Source organism: Homo sapiens, chromosome 3 (genome assembly GCF_000001405.40).
Source record: "Homo sapiens chromosome 3, GRCh38.p14 Primary Assembly".
In the NCBI taxonomy this organism is placed as follows: Eukaryota; Metazoa; Chordata; class Mammalia; order Primates; family Hominidae; genus Homo; species Homo sapiens.
In genome coordinates, this window is record NC_000003.12 from 107866830 (window position 1) to 107894023 (window position 27194).

General features: G+C 39.1%; 2 long non-coding RNA genes across 3 annotated transcripts in view; one reads left to right on the forward strand and one right to left on the reverse strand.

The window, feature by feature from the left end:
• Positions 1–11239, reverse strand: part of LINC00635 (long intergenic non-protein coding RNA 635) — a 36407-nt gene extending 25168 nt beyond the window's left edge. For both annotated transcript variants that reach the window (NR_024276.1, NR_015414.1), the window contains exons 1-3: positions 11073–11239; positions 9301–9357; positions 6139–6197 (exon numbers count right to left, since the gene is read on the reverse strand). This is a non-coding gene — a long non-coding RNA (long intergenic non-protein coding RNA 635). The remainder of the gene's footprint in view (positions 1–6138; positions 6198–9300; positions 9358–11072) is intronic.
• Positions 11240–16375: 5136 nt separating this feature from the next.
• The window catches only part of LINC00636 (long intergenic non-protein coding RNA 636), a 45703-nt gene continuing 34884 nt past the window's right edge, over positions 16376–27194 (forward strand). The window contains exon 1 of the long non-coding RNA NR_015394.1: positions 16376–16477. This is a non-coding gene — a long non-coding RNA (long intergenic non-protein coding RNA 636). The remainder of the gene's footprint in view (positions 16478–27194) is intronic.

Sequence of the window (27194 nt, forward strand, 5' to 3'; positions counted from 1 at the left end):
TCAAGTCTTTTACCTTCAGAAATATTTCTCCAATAGTATAGCTTCCCCCGTCCCGCCCCCAGCACCAGTCTCCAACTCTTTTCCTAGCTGCAGTGTTCCCAATCTACTTCCTCAAACTCTGACTTCTATTCTCCCTCCCCATGCCCCAAGCCCCTTTACAGAAAACAAGAAGATTAAAGGGAGCTAGAGTTGGAGAAATGTACTTTCTCTTTCTGGGATAAGGCTCTGACAAAGTCTTTTCCCCGGGAGATCTCTGGGTGTATTTCACAATGATCTCCTGGCCCACCCCTGCCCTCTTCCCAGCCAGAGTCAGAGTCATCAGGGAATCTCTCTTAGATCTTCACCAGGAGAATCTGGTAGAGTCCCTGGAGGTAATGACCCTGAAAAATGTGCCCCACCTGGGCCCCAATACTATGTCTTCCAGGAGTTTCTGACCCTTAGGTTATTCCACACTCAGCTTCCAGCAATTCATTAAAATTACCTTTTAAGTGTTCCTAATGGCAGCTTCTATTTCAGGTAATTGGATCTCAGCTGAGGATCTGTGGGTGCACCTGCCTTTCCAGATTTCAGGGTAGTGGTTTACTCTGCAAACTCAGCTGTATAGTGAGTCCAAGAAAAGTCATTGATTTTCAGTTTGTCCAGCTTCATTTTGTTGTAAGGGCAATAGCGACAACTTCTAAGCTCTTTACATGTTAGAGAGGAAACACAAAGTCTTGATTCCAGACTTTTACAGTCCATTCCAAGAATCCTGGATTCATGTGGAAGAGGAATGGACACAGTTTCAGTCCTCCCTGCCTCATTATGTAAGTCCCAGTTCCTGTTCCTTTATGGGGTTAACACCCAAGCCCCTAGGTAATGGAAGCAGGCACCATTCTATCTCCACAGCTGGCACAGCATCATCTCATGCATTTTCTACTCTGGCTTCCAGTTTCCTTTTTGTTTTTGGCCTTTGGGAATTTTCTTTACTTTCTACTATTCTCAAATGAAAATGTATAAGGATGTGAATTTATGTTCTCTTGGCATTTCTTGGTAGATGGACAATTTTCAGATTATTTAGTCTGTAACATTGCTAAAACTAGCCTCTTACCAATTTTTCTATTCAAATATTTGGTGAGCTGGTGGGTGCTGTGACTCCTGAAATCCCACTGGCCCAGGCAAAGCCCTAGGCAGGGAATTGGGACTCCCTGGTACTGCTTGCTGTTCTGCCCCTGACTACCTGACTACCGTGTCATGGTGCATGGAGAAGCCTCTCAGCACTGTCAAGTCCTGGGCCCAGTGGGAAAGCAGCAGTGCTATGGTATTCACAGCAGATTTGCCTGAGCCCAGTGGATGCTGTCTACCCAGCTTCTCCTGTGTGTGATCCTGATAATACTTATCTTCTTGAGTACCACAACTCTCCACTTCTGGGTTTCTTTGGAGTGTGGCTCTGTTGCACTTGCCTCCCTCATCCTAAGCAACACTGAGCAAGATTTTGACAGATTCAGATCAGCTTTTCCACCTCTTCCTCCCCCCTCTGCCTTATCCCAAGACTTCAGTTTATGACTTCTCCTCTAGAGAAGGGATTTTGCAAATCCCATCTCCTTCTTGGTGATATAGCTTGCTCTTTTTCAATATATAGCTTTGACCCAGGGACATATTGCAGCCAAATCTGCATAATTACTTGGAAGAACTGGGATACCCAAGTGATCAGTCTTTGGGACTTAATTTGAGTAGGCACCCCAAGCCTTATGGGGGAGGGGAGGTGCATGTGAACAAGAATTAAAGGATTTTGTCAAATATTCTAGTTTAGTTCCTGAAAAAAGGAATGGATGAGCATGACTCAGCAACTCCCAAGAAAGAAACCCTATTGTGTTGGAGTGTAGAAGCCTTAGTATCTGAGTATTTAAGAGGAGCACTTTATTTTTAAGTATCTCCTTTTTCTTGAGATAAGAATATTAAAACCTTAATTTCTGGGCTTCAGGTCAAGCTCCCTTAACAAGCACTGTGGGTGGGATGTTTTCTGGTTCCTCTCAAGGAGCTGCTCATCAAACAGTCTTTTGAAACTGAGCCAGCAGGTAGAGGCTGCAGAGAACAAGCTAAGGTCACCCATGCAAGAGGTTGGTTAATTCAATTATAAATCAAATTGCAAAAGGACAGCAATTTGCTGTAAGTTCTTGAGATGCTCATAATGTGGAATGCTTTTTCCCTTAGAAGGACTTAAGCTCACTGGCTTTAAATAAATCCTACAAAACTCAAGTCCATAGGTGCATATTTCTGTGTAAACATTGTGGAGTAGTTAGTGATTAAAAGAGATGTAATCTCTTAGTAGGGAAAAGAGGAGGAAATTAAAAAATGGTGCCATATCCCATGTAGGTTTACAATGGTGTTGATATAGGTGATCTTAATTCTCAGGCAGAAACTTTCAAGATTTCATCTATTATTAACTGAGACACAGTCAAAGACCTTGCAAAAACGTTAAAACCCCCATTTTAGAACTAACAGGCTCCTCTATATTCCCTGTTTTCAGGGGCCCCTCAGGATTTCCCCCTTTATAGCTACCTTACTGGCTTTATTAGACCATATAATTCCTGGTTGTCATTTCAGCATCAGATGGACCTCACCTCCCTCAGGAATCTTTCCTGATTTCTTTCCCTACTCCTATTGCCCACTTCAAGGCCCCTGCTCTGGAGCTGCCACACTATCTCTCAGTGACTCACTATTATTTAAAATCTCATCCTTGAATGCCAGTCTCCTCTCAAGGCTGTGAGCTGCTACAGGGCTCTGTCTTCATTATTTTCTTCTGTCACTCAGTACCCAGCATATACAAAATTGTTTGGTTTATTTTTTAATGTAAAATTTTAAATTAACATTACCCAATGTAGAAAATTACACAAGTCATACATGTACAGCTCAGTTGATTTCTGACAGTAAACACACCCATGTAACCAGCACTCTGGATCAAAGAATGGAACATTTGCAGAGCCCTGGAAGCACTCCTTATGTTTTCTTTCAATGCCTCTCACTTGCTCGAAGCTAACACCTATCTTGAGTCCTAATGCCATACATTCATTTTGCCTATTTTTGAGCTTTATGTAAATGGAATAATACAATTTTGCATCATTTTGTGTTTCCTTGTTTCATAAGCCATTATGTTTGTAAGATTCATCTAAGTATTTTTGGGTGTATGGCTGTAGTTTATTTTCCTAGCTTGATCACTTTCTATTGTATAAATACACCATAATTTATCCAGTCAATTGTTCTTGGACCTCTAGGTTTTTAGTTTTGGACTATTATCAATAGTGTTAATAGTGTTGCTATAAACATTCTGACACATGTTGTTAAAAGATAAATTTAGACACATTAAAATTTTGAAGGGTTTATTTGAGCAGACAACCATTCATGAATTGGGCAGCATCAGAACACAAGCAGTTGGGCTCTACTCACAGGACATGAGGGGGAAGCTTTTATAAGGTGTTCTTGGAAGCAACACCAAGAAAATATATTTGACTGGTTAAAGTGGAAAGTCCTTAGTTAGAGGTTAGTTTGGTGGTTTCTGATTAGTTAAGCTTAAGTTTCATTTTACTGTTTACATTGAGTTGGGCTTTTGCTTGCTTATGTAAAAGACCCAAGGCAGTCGAGCCAATTCAGCCTAAGGGCCTTCCATCAGTTTTTCTTAACAATGTATTTTGGTGCACATATATTTGCATTTCTAAGGCAAAAATTGATAAATAATAGGTTTCACATATTTCCAACTTTCATAGAAATCACCAGTTTTCCAAAGTAGGTTGCACCAATTTTTATCCCTAGCAGTTCAACAAATGTGTTTTGAATAAATTAATTTCCTCCCTAAGCTTGACTCTTTAGGGTGACACAATCTCTATAGCTACCTTGAAAAGAAAAAGTCTTCTGTTCCTTCCTTCTTTTTAATTTTCTTCTTATATCTGTTAATAAGTGACTTAAACTAGGGCTAAATGGAAATGTCTATAAATGTTACATATGAGAAAATTCCCAAGTCATTGAAATAACCTATAATGTGGATATTTCCTTTCCTGTCTTTATTTTGTAATTGCTGAACACCATTCTGGGAACAATTAGCTTTGCTGAAATATCAGGTTGTGAATAATTCTGAAAGTATATTTAATTTTTCAGACAAATGTGAATAATATATATCTTCCTTTGTGGGATTACTTAGTCTCTCATCTTGCTGTAAACATATCCTAATCAAAAGTAATTGTGAATTTAAACAGTGGAGACCAATTAAAGTGCAGTTACCATTCGTTATGTGAGTTCACCAGTGTAAATGCCCCTCTGTGAGGGGATTTTACTTTCATCCAGGCAGCCACATTACATTATCTGATCTGAGCATCATCGTATCTCAGTGGGTGAGAATTGAGTCAAGGGGAAAAAACTGAGTGTTGCTAAGAGGTAAGGTAATTTATTCAGGAAACATCACTGTTCTCTGAGGATTGATATTTAACTGGCTTTCCTGCTTGAATGTCTATGTAATTTGCTGGAGGGCAGCTTACATTTGAGGATAGAATCAACACAGGATGGACTTTCTCAGTTCAGTACAATTTTACTTATTCATAGGGTATCATCTTTCATGCATATCAGGGGAACCAGTTGAGTAGCCTCCTGTGCTGGCCCTATGTTGGGACTTATCAAGTACAGTCACATGTTGCTTAAAGCTAAATGGTATGGCCTATTGGTCCTAGGCTACAAACCTGTATGGCATGTTACTGTACTGAATACTATAGGCAACTAAAACACAATGGTAAGTATTTATGTCTGTAAACATATCTAAACATAGAAAAGGTGCAATAAAAATATGCTATAAAGATTTCAAATGGGCTGGGTGCGATGGCTCACACCTGTAATCCCAGTACTTTGGGAGGCCAAGGCAGGTGGATCACCTGAGGTCAGGAGTTTGAGGCCAGCCTGGCCAACATGGTGAAACCCCGTCTCTACTAAAAATACAAAAATTAGCCAGGCGTGGTGGCGGGTGCCTGTAATCCCAGTTGCTCAAGAGGCTGAGTCAGGAGAATCTCCTGAACCCGGGAGGCGGAGGTAGCAGTGAGACGAGATTGCACCATTACACTCCAGCCTGGGCAACAAGAATGAAACTCTGTCTCAAAAAATAAAATAAAATAAAGATTGAAAGTGGTACACCTCTATAGGGCACTTACCATAAATGGAACTTGCAAGACTGGAAGTTGCTCTGGGTGAGTCAGTGAATGACTGATGAGTGAATGTGAAGGCCTAAGACGTGATTATACACTGCTGTACACTTTATCAGCACTATACACTTAGGCTACACTAAATTTATAATAAAAATTCTTTCTTCAATAATAAAATGAGCTTACTCTAACTTCCTAACATTATAAACGTTTTAATTTTTTAAAACTTGACTCTTTTGTAATAACACAGCTTAAAGCATAAACACTTTGTACAGCTGCACAAATATATTTTCTTTATAGCCTTATTATGTAAGCTTTTTTCTATTTTTACATTTTTTACCTTTTAAACTTTTTTGTTAAAAACTGAGACACAAACACACACACTAGCCTTGGCCTACACAGGGACAGGATCTTCAATATCATGGTCTTCCACCTCCACATCTTGTCCCACTGGAAGGTCTTCAGGGGCAGTAACACACACGGAGCTGTCATCTCCTATGATAACAATGCCTTCTTCTAGAATACCTGACATGCCTGAGGCTGTTTTACAGTAAGCATTTTTTTTTTTTTTTCTGAGACAGAGTTTCACTCTTGTTGCCCAGGCTGGAGTGCAATGGCGCGATCTCGGTTCACTGCAACCTCCGCCTCCCGGGTTCAAGAAATTCTCCTGACTCAGCCTCCCAAGTACTGGGATAACAGGCATGGGCCACCACGCCCAGCTAATTTTATATTTTTAGGAGAGATGGGGTTTCTCCATGTTGGACAGACTGGTCTCGAACTCCCGACCTCAGGTGATCCTCCCACCTCAGCCTCCCAAAGTGCTGGGATTACAGGCGTGAGCGACTGCGCCCGGCTACAGTTAACTTTTTTTAAATAAGTAGCTGGGCACAGTGGTGCCTGCCTGTCCCAGCTACTCAGAAAGCTGAGGCAGGAGGATTGCTTGAGCCCAGGAGTTCAAGGCTGTTGTTGGCTATGATCTTACCTGTGAATAGCCACTCCACTCCACCACAGCACTCCAGACAACATAGTGAGACCCCTTCTCTAAAAAACAACAAAAAAAGCAAAAGTACACTTTAAAGTAACAATAAAAAGTTTAGCACGGTAAATACATAAACCAGTAACATAGCTATTTATTATCCAGTATTATATACTGTACATAATTGTATGTGCTATTAGTACAGTAGGTTTGTTATAAACAAACGCCAGCATTACCACAAACACATGAGTACTGTGTTGCGCTATGACATTACAATGGCTACCACATCACTAGGTGATAGGAAATTTTCAGCTCCATTATAAACTTATAGGACCATCATTGTATACCATTGTTGACCAAAACATTTTTATTTGGTGCATGACTGTAATTGTGTTGCTACTACTATAACGGTAATGAGAAAAACCTGTTAGCCCTGCCTCATTTCACTGTCTCTGTAGCTCAGATCCACAGCCTTGCCTGAAAACCTAGTGAAAGTGGGACTGACAAAAGCTCATGATTTACTTTCAAAGATTAGAGAAAATGTAGTGGTTACATGTGAAGGTTTTAAATCATTGGGCTTTCTTTCCTGCCTCAAATGTCCTTAAAACATAGGTCCCCAGCACTTTGGGAGGCCAAGGCAGGCGGATCACCTGAGATCAGGAGTTTGAGGCCAGCCTGGCCAACATGGTGATTATAGATCCATGGTCCCTACTAAAAATACAAAAATTAGCTGGGTGTGGTGGTGGGCGCCAGTAATCCCAGCTATTCGGGAGGCTGAGGCAGGAGAATCGCTTGAACCTAGGAGGCAGAGGTTACAGTGAGCTGAGATCATGCCACTGCACTCCAGCCTGAGCGACAGAGCAAGATTCTGTCTAAATAATAACAATAATAATAATGATAATAACAACAATAAAATAAATAGGCCCACTCAGGGGCAGGGCAATGGTGTGCCTTTGCCTACTGACATAAATAGCAAAATACTCCATTTCTGAATTGTGGTCTCTAGCACAAGTAGTTCCTGTAAATGGTGAGATGCAAACTAAATTAAGCAGGCCAGAGAGTTTCATTGTCTTTAAATTGGATCTTTGTGGATTAATAGAATTCAATTCAACTGACACTTATTAAAAAGGCACTGTGGAAGAGACAAATAAAAAATTTCTGACTCCATCAAACTTTTAATCTCATACTATATTGACATGAAATAGGCACACTGATCCCTACTGGGTCTGTGCCTGTCTTCTCTGGGAAGTAAGGCTTTTCTACCCCCATGATAGGTCCAGTCAAAAGGACTTCAGGACCTATAATCATGGCCCCTTGGATTAAGACGTCCAGGTAAAGAGGAGATATCAAAGACTATCTTTTAGTCCCTAGGGAAAGTACCCTGATATGGATAAATTTAAAGGTGATTTTCCCTTTCTGGACATAAGGTTGTCATTAGTGAAGCATCAGGAAAGAAAAGCTTTTTCTCTATTCTCTTAGGTTCAGAAACTGGGGGCCTAAATACTAAACTACCAAAAGACATGTTAATAGGAGAAAAAACACACAATTTGTATTAATATTTTATGTGTACAGGAGATAAAGAAAATAAGTAAAGCTCAGAGAAGTGGTTTGACCAGGAAACTTGTATTCCTTTCTTGACAAAAGAAAGAGAGTTTGGGCTTCAAGGGATGATAAACTGCGGGGAAGTGACTAGGAAATATATGGGGGGAACTGACAGAACATAAGAGCTATTTTAGTAAGGTCTGTTTATGCAAACTCATCTTGGTATTGACTCCCCATTTTTGATGACAAGATTCCCTTTTCTCTTCCTGGTACAGGGTGGTGGGTGCAGGGTCAGGGTACCTTCCTCAATGGGAAATTTATGCCTTGTCCTTAGTCACATAAGGGAAGGGCAGAGAACTTGTCTAGCATCTGCTGATTCTCAGTTGTCTTCAGCTCAAAATAATCCTGATGCCAAAGAGGCTTCCTTTGAGAAAGCACATTCTGATTCCTTTCAGAAGGAGGCACATTGGTGCCATGTGTGGAACTGTAGTGAGTAGCTTCCTGGTTCATCTCTGGGATACCTTGCCTTAAATCTTCCCTGGTGGCAGCAAAATAGAGAATGTGGAACCCTAAGAAGCACAGACTTTGGGACCATATGCAAACCTTCTCAGATGAGTGGGAGAAGGTCCTTTGAAGCCTAGCAGAGGGAAGAAGCAGCTCCAGAAACAGAAGGTAGGATTGGAGCAGTTGTCAACTGGTGCAAGGAGGTGCCAGAGATGGAGTCACTAGGAACAGCAGAGCCTGGAGATGATCTGAACATCAGATCAGAAGACACCCTGCTGGACCAGGCCTCCAAAATTCCCAAAGATAGTGGAAGGAGATTAGGAGGTGGTTGTTGTTGTTTTTTCATGAGAACATTTTCTCAGAACGAGAAAGAGGGAAATTTAATACAGTTGAAACCCCTGGAAAGCTGGGTGAAGATTTAAGCCAGGTAATGTATGAAGCAAGATCCAACCTCGGATTTATATCAGCAACTGGATCCTTAGAAACTGGGTCAGATATAATGATATGACATAATATAACCATGTCCTTCCATGGGTATTCAGAAACTGAAAGCGATCTTTCCTTTAACTGGGGCAATGAAGATGGGAAGAAAAGGTGATCATTCCATGTAACGTGACTACTCAACAGGCAAATTCCTCATCAAGTTCCTTCTGATATTGGGTAGAATGGAAGGAGATGGTGAAAATGTGTAGCTGATTCTCAAATGACAAAATGTGAAGACAGAGAATAGTCATGATTACTACTGGTTGCTTTTTTCCTCCCTTCTCACATCTCTAAGACCAAAGAAATGATCACTTGATCAGACTATTTGGGTAGAAAAGGAAAAATATCTGAGGGTTTGAATTAGAAGACCTAGGCTGAAGAATATTCTGGCTAGGCCATTTATTAATTATATGACTTGGGGCAATACATTCAACCCTTTTGATTTTAGAGAAAATAATATCTATCTCACACACCAATTGAAACAAAGAGTTTATGTGAAGGTGCTTTGTACTAAAGTTGCAAAATGCATACAAATAAAAGTAAGATAGTATATGAACAATTCAAACTAAAAAATACAATGATGCTATAAAAAAGACATAGTAAGTGTCGGTGAGGATGTAGAGAAGCTGAAATACTTACACACTGCTGATGGGAGTGTAAATATTATAGCCACTTCAGAAGACAGTCTGGCAGTTTCTGAAAATGTTAAATATAGATTTACCATTTGATCCAGCAATTCCACTCCTAGGTATATGCCCAAGAGAAATAAACACATATGTCCACACAAAAGCTTGTACATGCATGAATAACACAACAGCATTATTCACAATAATAAAAGGTGAAAACAGCCCAAATGTCCATCAACTGATGCATGAATACACAGAAGCAGTACATCTGTACAATGGAATATTGCTTAGAAATAAAAAGGAATAAAGTACTGATACCTGCTACAACACGAACAAACCTTGAAAACGTTATGCTAAGTGAAAGAAGCCAGTCACAAAAGATCACATATTGTATGATTCCATTTACATGTAATGTCTAGAATAGAAGAATTTAGAGAGACAGAAAGTAGGTTAGTGGTTGCCTGGGGCTGGGAGCTGGGTGGGGAGAAATGAAGAGTGACTGGTAATGGATATGGGGTTTATTTTGGGGGGGAATATAAATGTTCTGAAATTGACTCTGGTGATGGCTGCAAAACTCTGTGAATATATTACAAGCCCCTTAATTGTACACATAAAGAAACTTCAGTGAATTCTAATTTCCTCTGTGAGCAAAACCAGTGCAACACTAAATTTATCAGCAAGAAAAAGAGAATTCAAAATAATATACTTAAATAGACATATTTGGGTATATTTTGTACTGTTTTCATATTGATAAATTTTTGATTTCTGTATTTATATAGACATGAGATTTGTGGGACTGAGAGATTGTTAGTTACTCACAGTAACAATCTCCTCAGCTGCCCTTTTTCCCAATGCTTCCCTTTGGAGTGATGTGAACAGAGCTGGAGGCCACTCTACATGTAATGGGGTTGGTACTGTCGTGAGGAAGCCCCAAAAATATGAACCTGGGAGCGTGTATAAAATTTCCCCTTCTGAGGATGAGAAGCAAACTGAATCTACCTAATGTAAACAAATTCTCCTTGAGAAAAAAAGGAGGATTCTGGGTTGCTGCTCTTTGAAATATAAATACATGTCTCCATGAGGAAAGAAGACACAACCGTCTCTGAGTTTACAACCTCTGGAATGTCTCAAAGGCTTTGGGTCTCATCCCCCACTTGAAATGAAAACACAAACCTCCTGGAAGGAAAATCTCTTACCATCTAGTCAGTCATCATTTCACTTCCAAGACCTGTCTTTCAACCGGGTCCCAGTAAAATTTGCTCGGAAAGCTCAGCTCTAACCGTGCGGAAATATACAAGTATTCACTTTCTGACACACATTGGAAACATCGCTTTTACTCAAATACTTGTTTAAAAGGAACATCGATAGTGTATTCTTCTTTCTAAATCAAAGTATCATTTTGAAAAACATTTGTCTATTTAGATCAGAGTCAGAGATCCCAATATATATATTATGTTATATATATATTATATTTTGTGGGAAATTTATGAATTTGTAAATCATCTTGATGTCTTCATTTATTCATTTGCCGTTCCTGTAACTTTCACTCTACCTCACAGGGCTGAGGGGCCGTATATTTAGTATTCAGTGCTCCTGAAAATAGGCATCTGACTAGTATGTAATAAAATACCCTCAGTCCTCTAATAACTGAAAGTTGAGATTGCCTTTCATGGCAGATTGTGTTTTCCAGAACTGCAATAATATTTCCTGTCCCACATTCTCCTCCAGAACCTGGCCACATCTGCATCAAGAAGCAGAGCCTACTCCCCCTCTTTTTGAACCTACCTGGGCCTTTGTGTTTGTCTTGACAGTTAGAGTATGGTGGAAGTGATGCTTTGAGACTTCGGAGGCTGGAGAATGAATGGTAATACAGCTTCAGCCAGGCTCTCTCTCACTTAGGAAACGAGCCTTTGGAGCCCTGGGCCATCCGTAAGATGTTCAGCTACGCTGCTGTTGCTATGCTGAAGAGACCACACAGAGACAAAGAAGCATTCCTAGGGTCCCTAGAAGTTCCAAATTCCAGCTGTTTGAGTGGTCCCAGCCCACATGCCAGCCACGTGAGCATCAAGCATTCAGAATATTTGAGTGTCAACCATTGTCTGACAGCAAGTGTGTGAGACACTCTGAGTGAATACCGCCTAAGTGAGCTCAGGCAACTTCCCAAACTTGTGGGAGTTAATAATAAAATGATTGGTGGTATTTTACACCACCAAGTTTGGGAGTGGTTTGTTATGGGGCAATAGGCAACCAAAACACTCTTTGATTGTTAAACTAGCAAAAGCAATCCATGAAAGGATGAGATTATCTGTAGAAGTAACATCAGATGATATCTATTAAGTGTGCATTGGAGGAGACTTGGGAACACCAAATTCAATAAAGGCAAAATCTCAGGAAGGAAGGAACAGAAGTGACTGTCATCATGAAAGCTGATTCTCTCAATGGTAATGTACCAGATCTGCAGAAAGACTAAAGAGTGAGGAACATGAAATCTACATAAAAGAGAGTTACCAACAAGATTATATTGGTTTCTATACCACATTGTTTAATAAAGAAAGACATTGAATCTGGTGAATTATGGGAACAGGAATGATTTGTGGAACTTTTACTATGACCTGGGTTGTGTGTCCTCTAACACTAACTTCTCTTCCTTATTCTGACCCCCTGCCCACCGAGGAAGCTGATTAATGCTCGGCTCCCCCTTTAAACCTGCCCACAAGGAAAAAATGTGATGATCACATCAGCGCACAGTACTGTGGTGACCCAAGTGGCAGTTATCATTCTGTTGAGTGACACATTGTACATCGGGTTTATACATCAGTGCCTTCTAAGATTCGTTAACGTAAATCAGTCTCCTATAACGTTATCATCTCAGAGTGCATTGATAAAAATTGATTTTCTAGATGTGCACATCTGACAGGTGGAAAAGCAGCCTGATAACTCCTGAAAGGCTTTGTCACTCTGGCATCTGAGGTGGTATCACACACAGCCCTAATTATTCAGCTTACATCTGTTTAACAGAATTGCTATTTGTAATGATTATTACTGTTTAGCAACATTGTACACAAGACATTTTACTTGATTAAATTAAAATATTGAATTTATAGAATCAACGAAAGTTTTGGACCCTTACATTGACTAGATCCTAATCTTGGTTCTATAATAAATGAAACTATTTCTAATTTATTTTTGTTTTTCTATACTTTTGTCACCTTAGTCAATGGTAACAACAACAACAACTAACATTAATGTCACTGAGTGCTAGGCACACTGTTCATGAGGATGTTTTTAAAATGTTTAATCAATATATAATGATATCATCAGTGATTTTTTAAAATGTCAGGTTTTTAAGGTATAATTTACGTGGAGTAAAATGCACCCTTTTAAAGTGTACAGTTCTATGAGTTTTGATGAATATGTGCCATCATGTAACTAGTACCCAATCAAAATACAGAATATTTTCATCACTCCGAAAAGTTTACTTGTACCCCTTTGTGGTCAGTCTCCTACCTCCACCCCTAGACTCTGGCAACACTGAACTGTTTTTGGTCCTTCTAGTTTTACCTTTTCCAGAATGCCATATAAGTAGAATCCTAAAATATGTAACCTTTGAGCCTGGCTTCTTTCACTGAGCAAGATGCTTTTGAAGTTCATTGATGTTGTTGTGTCTATTGGTTGTTTGTTCGTTTTTATTGCTGAGAGGTATTCCATAGTATAGCTACATCACATTTTGCTTGGTCATTCAACAGTTGATGAACATTTGGGTTATTTCCAGTTCTTGGCAATAATAAATAAAACTGCTAAAAAATTGTGTACAGGTTTTTGGGTGGCATATGCCTTCATTTCTCTCGGGTAAATACTCCCAAGAGAAATGGGTAAATACTCCTAAATATTTACCCAAGAGAAATGGGTAAATATTTACCCATTTCCTAAGTATTTACCCAAAGAGAAATGGGTATTTACCCAAGAAAAATGAATTGTCAGGCTGTGTGACAAAGCTTGAAATCTATCTATCATCTCTGTCATCTATCTATCTATCCATCTATCTATCTATCTATCTATCTATCTATCTATCTATCTATCTATCTATCTATCATCATCTATCTATCATCATCATCTTTAAATAGAGATGGGGGTCTCACTATGTTACCTAGGCTGGTCTTGAACTCCTGGCCTCAAGCGATCCTCCTGCCTTGGCCTCCCAAAGTGCTGGGATTATAGGCATGAGACACCATACCCAGCCAAAGAGCTTCAAATATATTATGTTACTTAATTCTCACCAGCAGTCAACTGTGGAAAATATACTATTGTTAGTTTTTTGGGTTTTTTTTTCAGGAATCAAAGCTAAGACTTACAGAGGTTAGGTATGCCTAAAATTACATGGCTAGTGCAGATAAACCCAGGGTGTTTTTTTTGTTTGTTTTTTTTTTTTTTTGAGAAGGAGTCTCACTCTGTCGCCCAGGCTGGAGTGCAGGGGCATGATCTTGGCTCACTGCAAGCTCCGCCTCCCAGGTTCACGCCATTCTCCTGTCTTAGCCTCCCGAGTAGCTGAGACTACCTGCACCCACCACCACGCCTGTCTAATTTTTTGTATTTTTAGTACAGATGGGGTTTCACCGTGTTAGCCAGGCTGGTCTCAGTCTCCTGACCTCATGATCCACCCGCCTCGGCCTACCAAAGTGCTGGGATTACAGGCATGAGCCACCAGGCCTGGCCCAGGCTGTTTTACTATAGAGAAGCAGGCCTTAACTGTTACCTCTTCTGTAGTTACTACTAACTTTACCCAGGTAATGGCTAACCACCATGAAAATAAAAGTAAAAAGTATAGCCTCATCACCCCTGTGATCAAATGTGGTAGATTTGGTTTCAGATGGAGAAATGAAAAGATTCGAGTATAACATGAAAAGGCTATATAGAATCAATATGGAAAAACTGATGTGGGTCACAAAGTGACAAATATATGGAGATGAAAGTCAATTCAAAGCTCAGTTCAAAGATGTGTCCTGACCTTTACCTTTTTATCCAGTTCAAATAGTATAGGATTGTGCCAAATGTAGCATTAAAATAGAGCTCTGGTCAATGTTTTCTTATAAGGCTTCTCTGCTGTTGACACTTACTAAATATGTTAGCATCAAACGCAAGCATAAACAGTATATCCCCTTAAAACATACACAAACATTTGTGAATTTCTAACATTCCTTTGTCACAAAAATAATAGTAATAACTTGAGTATAAGAATAATTTACATCTTTAATAGCTGCATTTTCTATTCAAATAATCTATTGCCTTGGATTCCAAAATGATATTTGTGATATGAACAAAAGAGAAATTATAGTAAGATTAACCTCTAAAAATGTATTGTGAAGATTATGCAGCTGTTCTGTAGAATTGGAAATAATGGAAAATTGACAGTGAAATATAAAAGTAGATCATGAATAGTTAATACCCAATTTTTCCATGATGAAGGAATTAAAATAATGACTAAGTAGTCACCACAGTGACAATTTAAGACAAATTTGTCATCTCCCAGCGCCTAGCACAAGGTCTTGCATTTATTATGAGCTGAATAAACATTTGCTGGTCTAAATTTAATCTTTCCAGGATGAATGTTTATAGGCATAGTGAGGTAATAGTGCAACTATTCTGTATAAAGTCTACGGGTTTGGTATTAATAAAGGCAATACATTTTTGTCTTACTAACAAAACAAAATGGAATACAAGTGTTTTAAGTACGGTAACCAGCTTCCCCAAAGAAGTTAAAACTGAGAGTGATTGTTGACGGTTGTGACTGATGCTTGTTCTTGCCCCAAATGTTTCAGCACTAGTGCATTCTTTACTCACAGAATTTAGGTTCTGAGGAAAACCCTCATATGTCTTTCTGAGGATCATACACAGGAGACTTTAGCAGAACTAAAGCAAACGCAAAAGAATCCAGAATCTGGAATCTTCTGCATGTGATGCCACAGGTGACATTCTCCCACTCTGGGATGAAATAGACAGTTTCTCCCTTGCTTCTCCTGAAACCAGTACATTGGCTCAAGCTGTAGGCTCTGCCTGCAGGATGCACCAGCTCGTGTTTGAATTAAATACAGTGACTTGAAGAAGGAAGAACTCTACAGAGTCTACTCTGGCAACACCGGGAACAGAAGCAACAGGACATTCAGCTTCCAGAAACTGCAGCGGTGCAGTTCCAATGGTTTCTGGCCTCTACAGCCTGTATTCTTAGTGGTTTATGCTCCAATTTCTATACACATTGTTAGTAGCAGCGGTGTCTTCATGAGACTAATTCCGTGGTGTGATATTGTTTGAGGATGCTTATGTTCGTAGTCATGGAAATTTAGTGATTGCCTCCCCAGCATTCATTCTCTCTGTTCCCTTTCTGATGGGGACATGCAGATTGGTTGGGACTAATCTCACAGCAGCTCCAGGGATGGGCCCTAGTTACAGTGGTTGGGATGGCATTATGATCCAAACTTTGTCAAAAAGAGAGAAGATGTTTGATGGGGAGCATCTGGAGAATAAAATTATTCTGTCTTTCATGGATGCTAAAAAAAGATGCTCCCTTCATCCACTGGTTGTGAATCAGGAAGCAACCACCCCAGTTGTTCTGGTAACTATGTTGATATGGTGAAGCTATCAAAATAGTTTTAGGGCTATTCTGCCACTGGGGAAGGCTGAGACACAGAAAGGAAGTCGGTCCTGGGACATCATTAAACTGCTGGAGCAAGCTTACCTGAAGGGTCATCTGGTAAGCAGATATGGAGATGGAATTACCAGTGTCCAAGCTTTATTGAGGTAATGTTTGTGAAAGATAAAAGCAAGGCACAGGAAATATATGGGCAGCAAAACCCTTCAGACCTTGATCCAGGCCTGACACCTGTGAAAACAAAGGGAAACCCCGCAGGATTGGGCAGGAAGGGCCTCAAACTGTGATGCAGATTTCATAAAGTCTCTGCCAGCACCAAAGGGAGATCTAGAGCAAAAGCTGCTTGTTGGAAGAGTATGACAATGGGCGGAAATGCCCAGACACTAGTACTCCCACTGTACTTATTCGCCAGGGCTGTCGAGAAAGCTCAACACTGTTGTTCCAACTCAACACTGTAGAGGACCCTTAATGCCCACTGGCTGGCGGCTGTCAGTTACCGGCATCCTGCACACGTGGATAGTTTGTTCTTTTTTGAAGGGAGATCCAAGTAAGTAGTACACCTCCTTCCATTTCTGGGTTTCTTAAATTACTTGAACCACAAAATCTTTATATTATTACTGTTGTTGCTGTTATTATGATTTAAACAGTTAGACCGATTTTCTGTTACCTGTGAGCAAAGGAACTGTGATTGGTATGTGAAGTAATATTTTTAGATTTAAAAAGATTGTCAGTTCAGTTTAACATATACTTAAGAGGCAAGATACTTTAGTTATATTATCTCTGACCTTCAAAAACAAACAAATGAACAAACTCACAAATGCAGAGCTTATCACAGAACTGTTATGTGGTTGGAACTAATAAATGATAGCTATGATGATTCATCTCCATTTCAGTTATATTGCTCTTCAGTGTTTAATAATGGTAATTGGGTTTTTAGTTCCCAAAATGTGACTTTTTTTCTTGCACAGAAGTTAATGCTGATAGTTTCTTATGATTGTGTTAATGTTGAACTGACAAAAGGTATAAATTTTATAACTTAGTTTTTATAAGCCTTTACTTTTAACTCACAAATCTTGTTGCTATATTTGCAAATCTAATAATGGTGTAAGAATTTTAAGCACTTAACTTCATTTGTTATTTAATTAATGCTCAATTAGTTTATAAATTTTATGGATCAGATCTCTCAAATGTTAACAGTATATAGAAACTTTATTAACTAGATATTTTTAGACATTTCAAACAATTATTACCAATTTGAAAACCAGTTCTCCCAAATAATTCAAACACCTATTAAGCAAACTTACAAGTCTAACATGCAAGATATTTGCAATCTTTGTGAAAATCTAATAAATTTAATAAATTAGACAAATTTAATAAAGCAGATTCTCTTATCCATTTCAAACATCTTAAAGCAGATAAAGCATATATGAAGCAACACAATGACTATAAAATAGCTTACACATGCAAAAATCAATTCCACTTAAATCTATACTTCCTGGAGTTGGACACTTAGTTACCCAACTAAGAGGATGGTTACCCAAGTAACCATCATCAAGGGCCTGCTGTGGTTACTTGTGTAAAACTTGGGATCATCAGAAGGTTACCAACTCAGGTTGGGGTAGGGACTGTGGCCTGGGGACACTATCTAGGTGTTACTTAAAGAATGGTACTTCCTAAGCCACCAAATAATACCTTCCAAGTCTCCTCCTATAATCTGGTTTTAGTTGCTTCATCCCTGGCACACTCCAAGCTTGTAGATCTCAACTGGGATACAATTTAGTTTCACAACTCAATTTATCATGTGTCTGTCAAGTTTCATCTTTACCTACATTTTCAACTTTGTATTATTTGATTTCCATAGATGGAATCTGAATTCTCTAGCTATATTGTAACTTACATCTTTGCTGCCTGATTTGACATAAGAAATTCAGCACCCTCTTTTTTTGTGTGTCTCAGCTCTATCCCAAAGTAATTTTTGGAGAACAAAAACATCTTTTCTGCTCTTAAGTTGTTATCATTCTAGTAGAGAGAGCCAAGACATATACAAAAATCACCTACACTAAAAGGCAAAAATGAAGAAGACCATAAAAGTGTTGTAAGCAAATTTCTGTAAGATCACTGTGATAGAATTCTAAGATGGTCCCAATGAACGTTGCCCCCTGGTGTTACTCCTGAAATTATGTTACCTCACGTGGCAAAAAAAGGATTTTCCAGAGTAACTGAGGTTAGTAATTAGTTGACCTGAAGACAGGAAAGCTTTCCAGGTGGACCTAACCTAAACACATGAGCCCTTTAAAAGAAGGGAGTTTTCTCTGGCTGGTAGCAGAAGAGGAAGTCAGAGAGTAAAGCAAGAGAGAGAAGGAATGTGCAGGAAGCTGTCTGTTGTTGAGATGGAGACAGCCCCAGGGGAAGGAGCTGAGAGTGGCCTCTAAGGGCTGAGAGTGGTTCCCTAAGTGACAGCCTCCAGGGAAATGGAGATCTCCATCATAACCACAAGGAATGGAATTATGCCAACAGTATGAATGAGTTTGGAAGGAATTCTTCCCCAGAGACTCCAAAGAAGAGCCTAAACTGACACTTTGATTTTAGCTTTAGGAAACCCTAAGCAGAGAACTCAATTGGGCCTGCCCAGACTTCTGACCTACAGAACTCTGAGCTCATAAATGGATGCTGGTTAAAGTTGCTATGTTTGCAGTAATTTTTTATGCAAAAATAAAAAACAAATACAATCACAGAAAATTTCTACTTCGGCTTAAAGACTCAGTTTATTAAATTTTAACATGTGCGTGCGTGTGTGTGTGTGTGTGTGTGTGTGTGTGTTTATATGAAAGCATCTTTTCAGGTAGGGAGATCTCAGACTCTAACATCTAGTGTTTTCACGTGGAACTAGTTGATGAGACTAAAAAGTCGAGATTTCGTTGAATTAGGGAGGGTTTAGGAATCTGAGTAAGAAAGTTTAATTGAAAAAAATTTCAAACAAAGCTACGGAATTTTCCTCTTTTGGCCTTGTTATTTTCTTTTTGGCATAAGCCATTAAAATGAAATGTCTGTTTTTTTCTTGTAAATTTGTTTGAGTTCATTGTAGATTCTGGATATTAGCCCTTTGTCAGATGAGTAGGTTGCGAAAATTTTCTCCCATGTTGTAGGTTGCCTGTTCACTCTGATGGTAGTTTCTTTTGCTGTGCAGAAGCTCTTTAGTTTAATTAGATCCCATTTGTCAATTTTGGCTTTTGTTGCCATTGCTTTTGGTGTTTTGGACATGAAGTCCTTGCCCACGCCTATGTCCTGAATGGTAATGCCTAGGTTTTCTTCTAGGGTTTTTATGGTTTTAGATCTAACATTTAAATCTTTAATCCATCTTGAATTGATTTTTGTATAAGGTGTAAGGAAGGGATCCAGTTTCAGCTTTCTACATATGGCTAGCCAGTTTTCCCAGCACCATTTATTAAATAGGGAATCCTTTCCCCATTGCTTGTTTTTCTCAGGTTTGTCAAAGATCAGATAGTTGTAGATATGCGGCATTATTTCTGAGGGCTCTGTTCTGTTCCATTGATCTATATCTCTGTTTTGGTACCAGTACCATGCTGTTTTGGTTACTGTAGCCTTGTAGTATAGTTTGATGTCAGGTAGTGTGATGCCTCCAGCTTTGTTCTTTTGGCTTAGGATTGACTTGGCGATGCGGGCTCTTTTTTTGGTTCCATATGAACTTTAAAGTAGTTTTTTCCAATTCTGTGAAGAAAGTCATTGGTAGCTTGATGGGGATGGCATTGAATCTGTAAATTACCTTGGGCAGTATGGCCATTTTCACGATATTGATTCTTCCTACCCATGAGCACGGAATGTTCTTCCATTTGTTTGTGTCCTCTTTTATTTCCTTGAGCAGTGGTTTGTAGTTCTCCTTGAAGAGGTCCTTCACATCCCTTGTAAGTTGGATTCCTAGGTATTTTATTCTCTTTGAAGCAATTGTGAATGGGAGTTCACTCATGATTTGGCTCTCTGTTTGTCTGTTGTTGGTGTATAAGAATGCTTGTGATTTTTGTACATTGATTTTGTATCCTGAGACTTTGCTGAAGTTGCTTATCGGCTTAAGGAGATTTTGGGCTGAGACAATGGGGTTTTCTAGATAAACAATCATGTCGTCTGCAAACAGGGACAATTTGACTTCCTCTTTTCCTAATTGAATACCCTTTATTTCCTTCTCCTGCCTGATTGCCCTGGCCAGAACTTCCAACACTATGTTGAATAGGAGCGGTGAGAGAGGGCATCCCTGTCTTGTGCCAGTTTTCAAAGGGAATGCTTCCAGTTTTTGCCCATTCAGTATGATATTGGCTGTGGGTTTGTCATAGATAGCTCTTATTATTCTGAAATACGTCCCATCAATACCTAATTTATTGAGAGTTTTTAGCATGAAGGGTTGTTGAATTTTGTCAAAGGCTTTTTCTGCATCTATTGAGATAATCATGTGGTTTTTGTCTTTGGCTCTGTTTATATGCTGGATTACATTTATTGATTTGCGTATATTGAACCAGCCTTGCATCCCAGGGATGAAGCCCACTTGATCATGGTGGATAAGCTTTTTGATGTGCTGCTGGATTCGGTTTGCCAGTATTTTATTGAGGATTTTTGCATCAATGTTCATCAAGGATATTGGTCTAAAATTCTCTTTTTTCGTTGTGTCTCTGCCCGGCTTTGGTATCAGAATGATGCTGGCCTCATAAAATGAGTTAGGGAGGATTCCCTCTTTTTCTATTGATTGGAATAGTTTCAGAAGGAATGGTACCAGTTCCTCCTTGTACCTCTGGTAGAATTCGGCTGTGAATCCATCTGGTCCTGGACTCTTTTTGGTTGGTAAACTATTGATTATTGCCACAATTTCAGAGCCTGTTATTGGTGTATTCAGAGATCCAACTTCTTCCTGGTTTAGTCTTGGGAGGGTGTATGTGTCGAGGAATGTATCCATTTCTTCTAGATTTTCTAGTTTATTTGCGTAGAGGTGTTTGTAGTATTCTCTGATGGTAGTTTGTATTTCTGTGGGATCGGTGGTGATATCCCCTTTATCATTTTTTATTGTGTCTATTTGATTCTTCTCTCTTTTTTTCTTTATTAGTCTTGCTAGCGGTCTATCAATTTTGTTGATCCTTTCAAAAAACCAGCTCCTGGATTCATTGATTTTTTGAAGGGTTTTTTGTGTCTCTATTTCCTTCAGTTCTGCTCTGATTTTAGTTATTTCTTGCCTTCTGCCAGCTTTTGAATGTGATTGCTCTTGCTTTTCTAGTTCTTTTAATTGTGATGTTAGGGTGTCAATTTTGGATCTTTCCTGCTTTCTCTTGTAGGCGTTTAGTGCTATAAATTTCCCTCTACACACTGCTTTGAATGCGTCCCAGAGATTCTGGTATGTGGTGTCTTTGTTCTCGTTGGTTTCAAAGAACATCTTTATTTCTGCCTTCATTTCGTTATGTACCCAGTAGTCATTCAGGAGCAGGTTGTTCAGTTTCCATGTAGTTGAGTGGCTTTGAGTGAGATTCAAAGTGGGCGAAGGACATGAACAGACACTTCTCAAAAGAAGACATTTATGCAGCCAAAAAACACATGAAGAAATGCTCATCATCACTGGCCATCAGAGAAATGCAAATCAAAACCACTATGAGATATCATCTCACACCAGTTAGAATGGCAATCATTAAAAAGTCAGGAAACAACAGGTGCTGGAGAGGATGTGGAGAAATAGGAACACTTTTACACTGTTGGTGGGACTGTAAACTAGTTCAACCATTGTGGAAGTCAGTGTGGCGATTCCTCAGGGATCTAGAACTAGAAATACCATTTGACCCAGCCATCCCATTACTGGGTATATACCCAAAGGACTATAAATCATGCTGCTATAAAGACACATGCACACGTATGTTTATTGCGGCACTATTCACAATAGCAAAGACTTGGAACCAACCCAAATGTCCAACAATGATAGACTGGATTAAGAAAATGTGGCACATATACACCATGGAATACTATGCAGCCATAAAAAATGATGAGTTCATGTCCTTTGTAGGGACATGGATGAAATTGGAAACCATCATTCTCAGTAAACTATCACAAGAACAAAAAACCGAACACCGCATATTCTCACTCATAGGTGGGAATTGAACAATGAGATCACGTGGACACAGGAAGGGGAATATCACACTCTGGGGACTGTGGTGGGGTCGGGGGATGGGGGAGGGATAGCATTGGGAGATATACCTAATGCTAGATGACACTTTAGTGGGTGCAGCGCACCAGCATGGCACATGTATACATATGTAACTAACCTGCACAATGTGCACATGTACCCTAAAACTTAGAGTATAATAAAAAAAAAAAAATTAAAAAAAAAAAAAATGAAATGTCTTCTAGGTTGGATAACACATTTTGCTATTATCAGTGAGAGACATATTTGGCTTATATGATTTATCCTTTTGGCAAGTTACTTAGCAAGACTAAGAGAATGGAGTTCGGGGTAGGTTAATGCTGCTAGGGAAAGACAGGAATAGAGAAGACAAAGACATAGAGTTGTTCTTGGGAGACAGGTACAGGTGGGATCTACAAAGAGAAGCTTTCGCACCATGCAGAGGCAGAGGGTACAACACAAAAGGGAAGTATAAGTGCAGAAAATATGATAAAGGAGGACAAGGATGTGTGACTACACTGTCACTTTTGTACAGAGCTTGCTTGCACCTAAACATGAGAACAAACCCCATGTGCCTTTTATTTTCCTCATGAAATCCCATGTACAAAGAAATGGAAAAAAAGTTATAAAACGACTACTTTTATGTTGTATATACCTTCCCCCCCTTATCCTTTCTAGGAAGCTGTAATGATCAGCAATGTCTTTAACTCATGAGCACTTTTAACTTTTTCAAAGCATAGCCTGTACAAAGATCTTTCATTTCCTGACTGGTCATGAGGATGAAGTTTATTGTCTTTTTATTGCTACTATTTGGACATTTTTATACAGTTTTCTCCACATAGCGTAGAACATGTTACCCCCTGTAATTGCTTTTATATACTACTTGACTTAAAGATTGTTTCAAACTTTCTTACTCCTAAATCATTTTTATTTTTAGGCAGTTAGAACAACAGCTAGATGGTTCTTGAAAAGTACCTGAGTATTAAAGTGGAGGGTGTTTTTTATTCCTTTCTTATGTTCATCTACCTAAAATAAAATCGGTACTTTTCAAAGGAATGAGATGAAAAATATTTTGAGCCTTTACCCTATTTAAGCCCAGTTGTTATTATAAGTAATACTTGTATATGTATATTAAACTTTCTGGCAGATGAATATAATTAACTTTCATGTACTTTGCTTTTATATTAGTTAATACTTTTTATTTTACTAAGATTTAGATTGGACAGTATTCTGATGATCTCATCACTGGTACTTTTATGGGTGATAATAACCATTACCATCTGTGAGATGTCCTTAGGGTACCAAGAGTTTTATAGAACCTATAACATGGCAAATTCCTACTCACAGTCTTATTCAAAAACATATTATTCTATACCCTATCACTTTTAATGGTGAAACAATAACTCAATTTCGCAAAATATTTTATCCCCAACTCTTTACCTTTGTCATCCACTAAGGTTTTTAGTTTTTAAAATTAATGACTTCAATCTTTATTTTAATAACATTTTTATTATAAAAACTCTAACTCCGAGAAATGGTTATAAACTTACACTTTTCCTAATAGGAATGTAAGTTTCTCATCAAGCACCAGGCACTCAAGTTACTGGAACCTCAGTGTGCAGGCATAATTTCTCAGGTCCACAGTCCCTGTTCTCAAGGGCTCAAACTGAAAAAAAAAAAAAAAAGGTATGCAAATAAATAAAGGTAGGTAAATAAGCTTTGGACTGTATATTCATTATATTGCCAATGATTACGTGCATTCATCTATACAAATATCTATATTGAAAGACAATATGTAAAGAGTTTCATGAATAGAATAAGCCAAGTTCTGTAAGAATGTGGGGGAGGGAGGGTTTGGGTAAGGAGGAAAGAATGGAGTCATTGCCTTAAGATTATGGGACTTGGCTGGGCCCAGTGGCTCACGCCTGTAATCCCAGCACTTTGGGAGGCCGAGGCGGGCGGATCACTTGAGGTCAGGAGTTCGAGACAAGCCTGGCTAACATGGTGAAACCCTGTCTCTAGTAAAAATACAAAAATTAGCCGAGCATGGTGGTAATCCCAGCTACTTGGGAGGCTGAAGCAGGAGAATCACTTGAACCCAGGAGATGGAGGTTGCAGTGAGCCAAGATCATGCCATTGCACTCCAGCCTGGGTGAGAGAGGGACTCAGTCTCAAAAAAAAAAAAAAAGATTATGGGACTTGTCCTGACCCTGACTCCTATTAAAGAGACTTTGGACATATTGTTTCATAACATTTCTGGGCTTCAGTTTCCCCATTTCTAATTATAATTATTGTAATAACAACAACAACAATTATTATTTATGAGGAAGTTAAGAATAAAAGCTCCTGATATATACAAATTGATCAATAAGTATTATTTTATATTTTCCTCATTTGTTGTCTATAATGTCTCTAAAATAAAAATTAATATTAAGCTTCCTTATGAAAAAGATTCTTAGTCCCAAACAGGTTTTGATCCACATATCACATAAGGTGACAATGTGAATGGAGAGAAAGGAACTTGCAGGAAATCTCTTCCAAAAAATATTTTGATGACTTACTGATTAACCAAAATTTACATTGATATTTTCTAAACCAAAAACTAAAACAAAATTTTTGACCTATGGTTATATCTCAATTTCAAATGACCTGGGCTGCAAACAGCAATACTTAATCAATACAGATATTTAATTATTTTACATGTCAGTGTGTTGGTAGTAGGTAGGCAGTTCCAGCTTTGATCCAGTGACTCAGTGACCATAGTAGGGACTCAGGTTCTTTCCATCTATTCACTTCAACATTCTCAACACAGTCACATTTTATCTTCAAGTTGTCACACAACTGCCACCATAGTCTGTGCATAATGTCCAGATTGCAGAAATCCTTTTCACTACACATTAGGAGAAAAGAAAATCCTACCCTCAGAGCTATTTAATATAATACTCGGTGATTATGATTAAAGAAATTACAGGTCAGTTCCCTGGGATTAATGACACCTGTGCAACAGAGCAAGCATGTCAGAAGAACAATGAGATATAGGATTTGTGTTTTTTTCTACCCTGACATTTTGCTTCCTGTTGCTTTTAATCATATTACACATGCAGTTATTTAGCTCTCTGCATTTGTAAGTCAGAAGCACTGTACTAACATTAGCTTAATAGCTGTAAAAGCCTTGAATTGAGAGGCTATTTTAAATGTAAGTGGAAGCCATGGGTCCTCCACCTCTTTAATTCTGAAGAAAGTTTACATTTTCTAAGTGAAGAAGTTTGAGTGACAGGAGGGAATAATGCCACAATATTGTGGTTCTCTACCTGCCTTTGCCCTGAAGCTCGTGCTATTCTGTGATGCTTGGATGTGGCTGTTGGTTGGGGGACAACTACTTTCCTCTTTGTGGGGCTTTGTGTATGTCCACAACCAAAACACGGTTACCTATTATCAACACACAGTGAGCACTGACTGTGCGCAGTTTCCTCATCTCTAGGAAAGCATTCATCCCATATGGAACGTGATGAACTAGACTCAGTTATAATGCATCCCTGGAAAGTTTAAGGTTAAGGGATGCAGGCTGCACAAACGTCACAGCAGCCATCAGCCTAACAAGTAGGGCTAGATGTTCTCTGGGATTTTAACCATGGTTTCTGAAATCAGTTAGGTAAGCCAAGAAGCTGCAAATTCTCATCTGAAAGTGTAGAAGCATAATTGCTTTTTAACCTTTGGAAACAGCCAGGTTCTGCTCTAGCATTCATATTATTCTATAAATAGCCATAGAATGGGATCATACATGACTTTCATCTCTACGGCATCTCACTTACCAGGTGCTAAGTGGGAATCACCTGGAAGACTTAAGATGCAGATTGCCGGGTTGTCCCCCAGAGTTTCTGATTCAGGAGGTCTAGAGTGGGTTTTTTTCATTCCTTTATTCTTTTCTATTTTTTTAAATTGACAAATAAAAAATCATATGTATTGGGTATGTACTATATGTTTTGGAGTATGTACACTGGAGAATTTGTATTTCTTATAAGTTCCCAGTTAATGCCAATGCTGCTGGTCCAGGGACTACACTCTGAGAGCTACTATCATAAGGAAATGATTTAGAATTCTGGTTCTCCCCATATCCTGCTTTTTTGGGTGAGTCTCATTTATCCAAGTGTAAGTTGGATTTTTTAGACGACAGTGGGTCTAAATTATTCAAACACTTTAATTGTGAGTCAGCACTGGGAAGAGAGCACTGGCAGTGACATTGGTCTTGCTGAAATTGGAGTCCGTTTGTGCCCTTAATGCAATCTGGCTAAGCCAAGGCATGGAGGCCTGAAGCTAGAGAGGCTGCAGGTGTGCAGCCCATGTGTGTAATTCAGTTAGGGAATGACAGCAGTGTCACACAAATCCCCGCCTTGGCTCCAGATAGGAAAACACATTTCCCCTGCTCAGTGGCAGGGTTTTTCATACCTCTTTGTTTGGGGTTTGTAGAAGTGGCAGGCTCCCAGGGAGGTGTTGCTGTCTGCGAGCTCTCAGTGGTGCAGCAAATTTTATCTTTCCATAGGTTAGATCGACTTGACCTGAGGGGGGCTGCATTTCCAGGAGAAGCGCTGTGTCTTCCTGGGGCACAGAAACGGCTCCACACACCTACCACTGTTCTTTTATGAGAGGAGATTGATTTCCCTGTGAGTGTATGGATGTGTGTGTGTGTATTTAAGAAAAACCTCCAACACCTTAATTGCAGGTTCCTTAATAGCACTGTATGAAAACAGTCGTAGCCTACAGGCATTTATATAATCTGGGTCCTTAGAGTATCTCTTACACAGCTTTTTGATCTTTGAGGGTTTTTTTTTTCCTCATCTACTCTGCTTAACTTAGATGAAATTTGTTTTCCATCTGTGCCACAAATTTCCTGTTAAAATGTCTAAAAATTTCTGTATGGGAAAAGCAGGATAAGCCTCTAGGTTTTTGACTATATTGATGCTCTGTGATCTCTACTTTTCCTTTGTGTGTCTGGAGCGCTATGTGGAGAGGAAATGCCTTGTTCTCTGAAAATGAAAGGAGCTTCTCTTGATGCTCCAGATAAAAGGTTAGGCTTATTATTTAGGCATCTGTGAGTGAT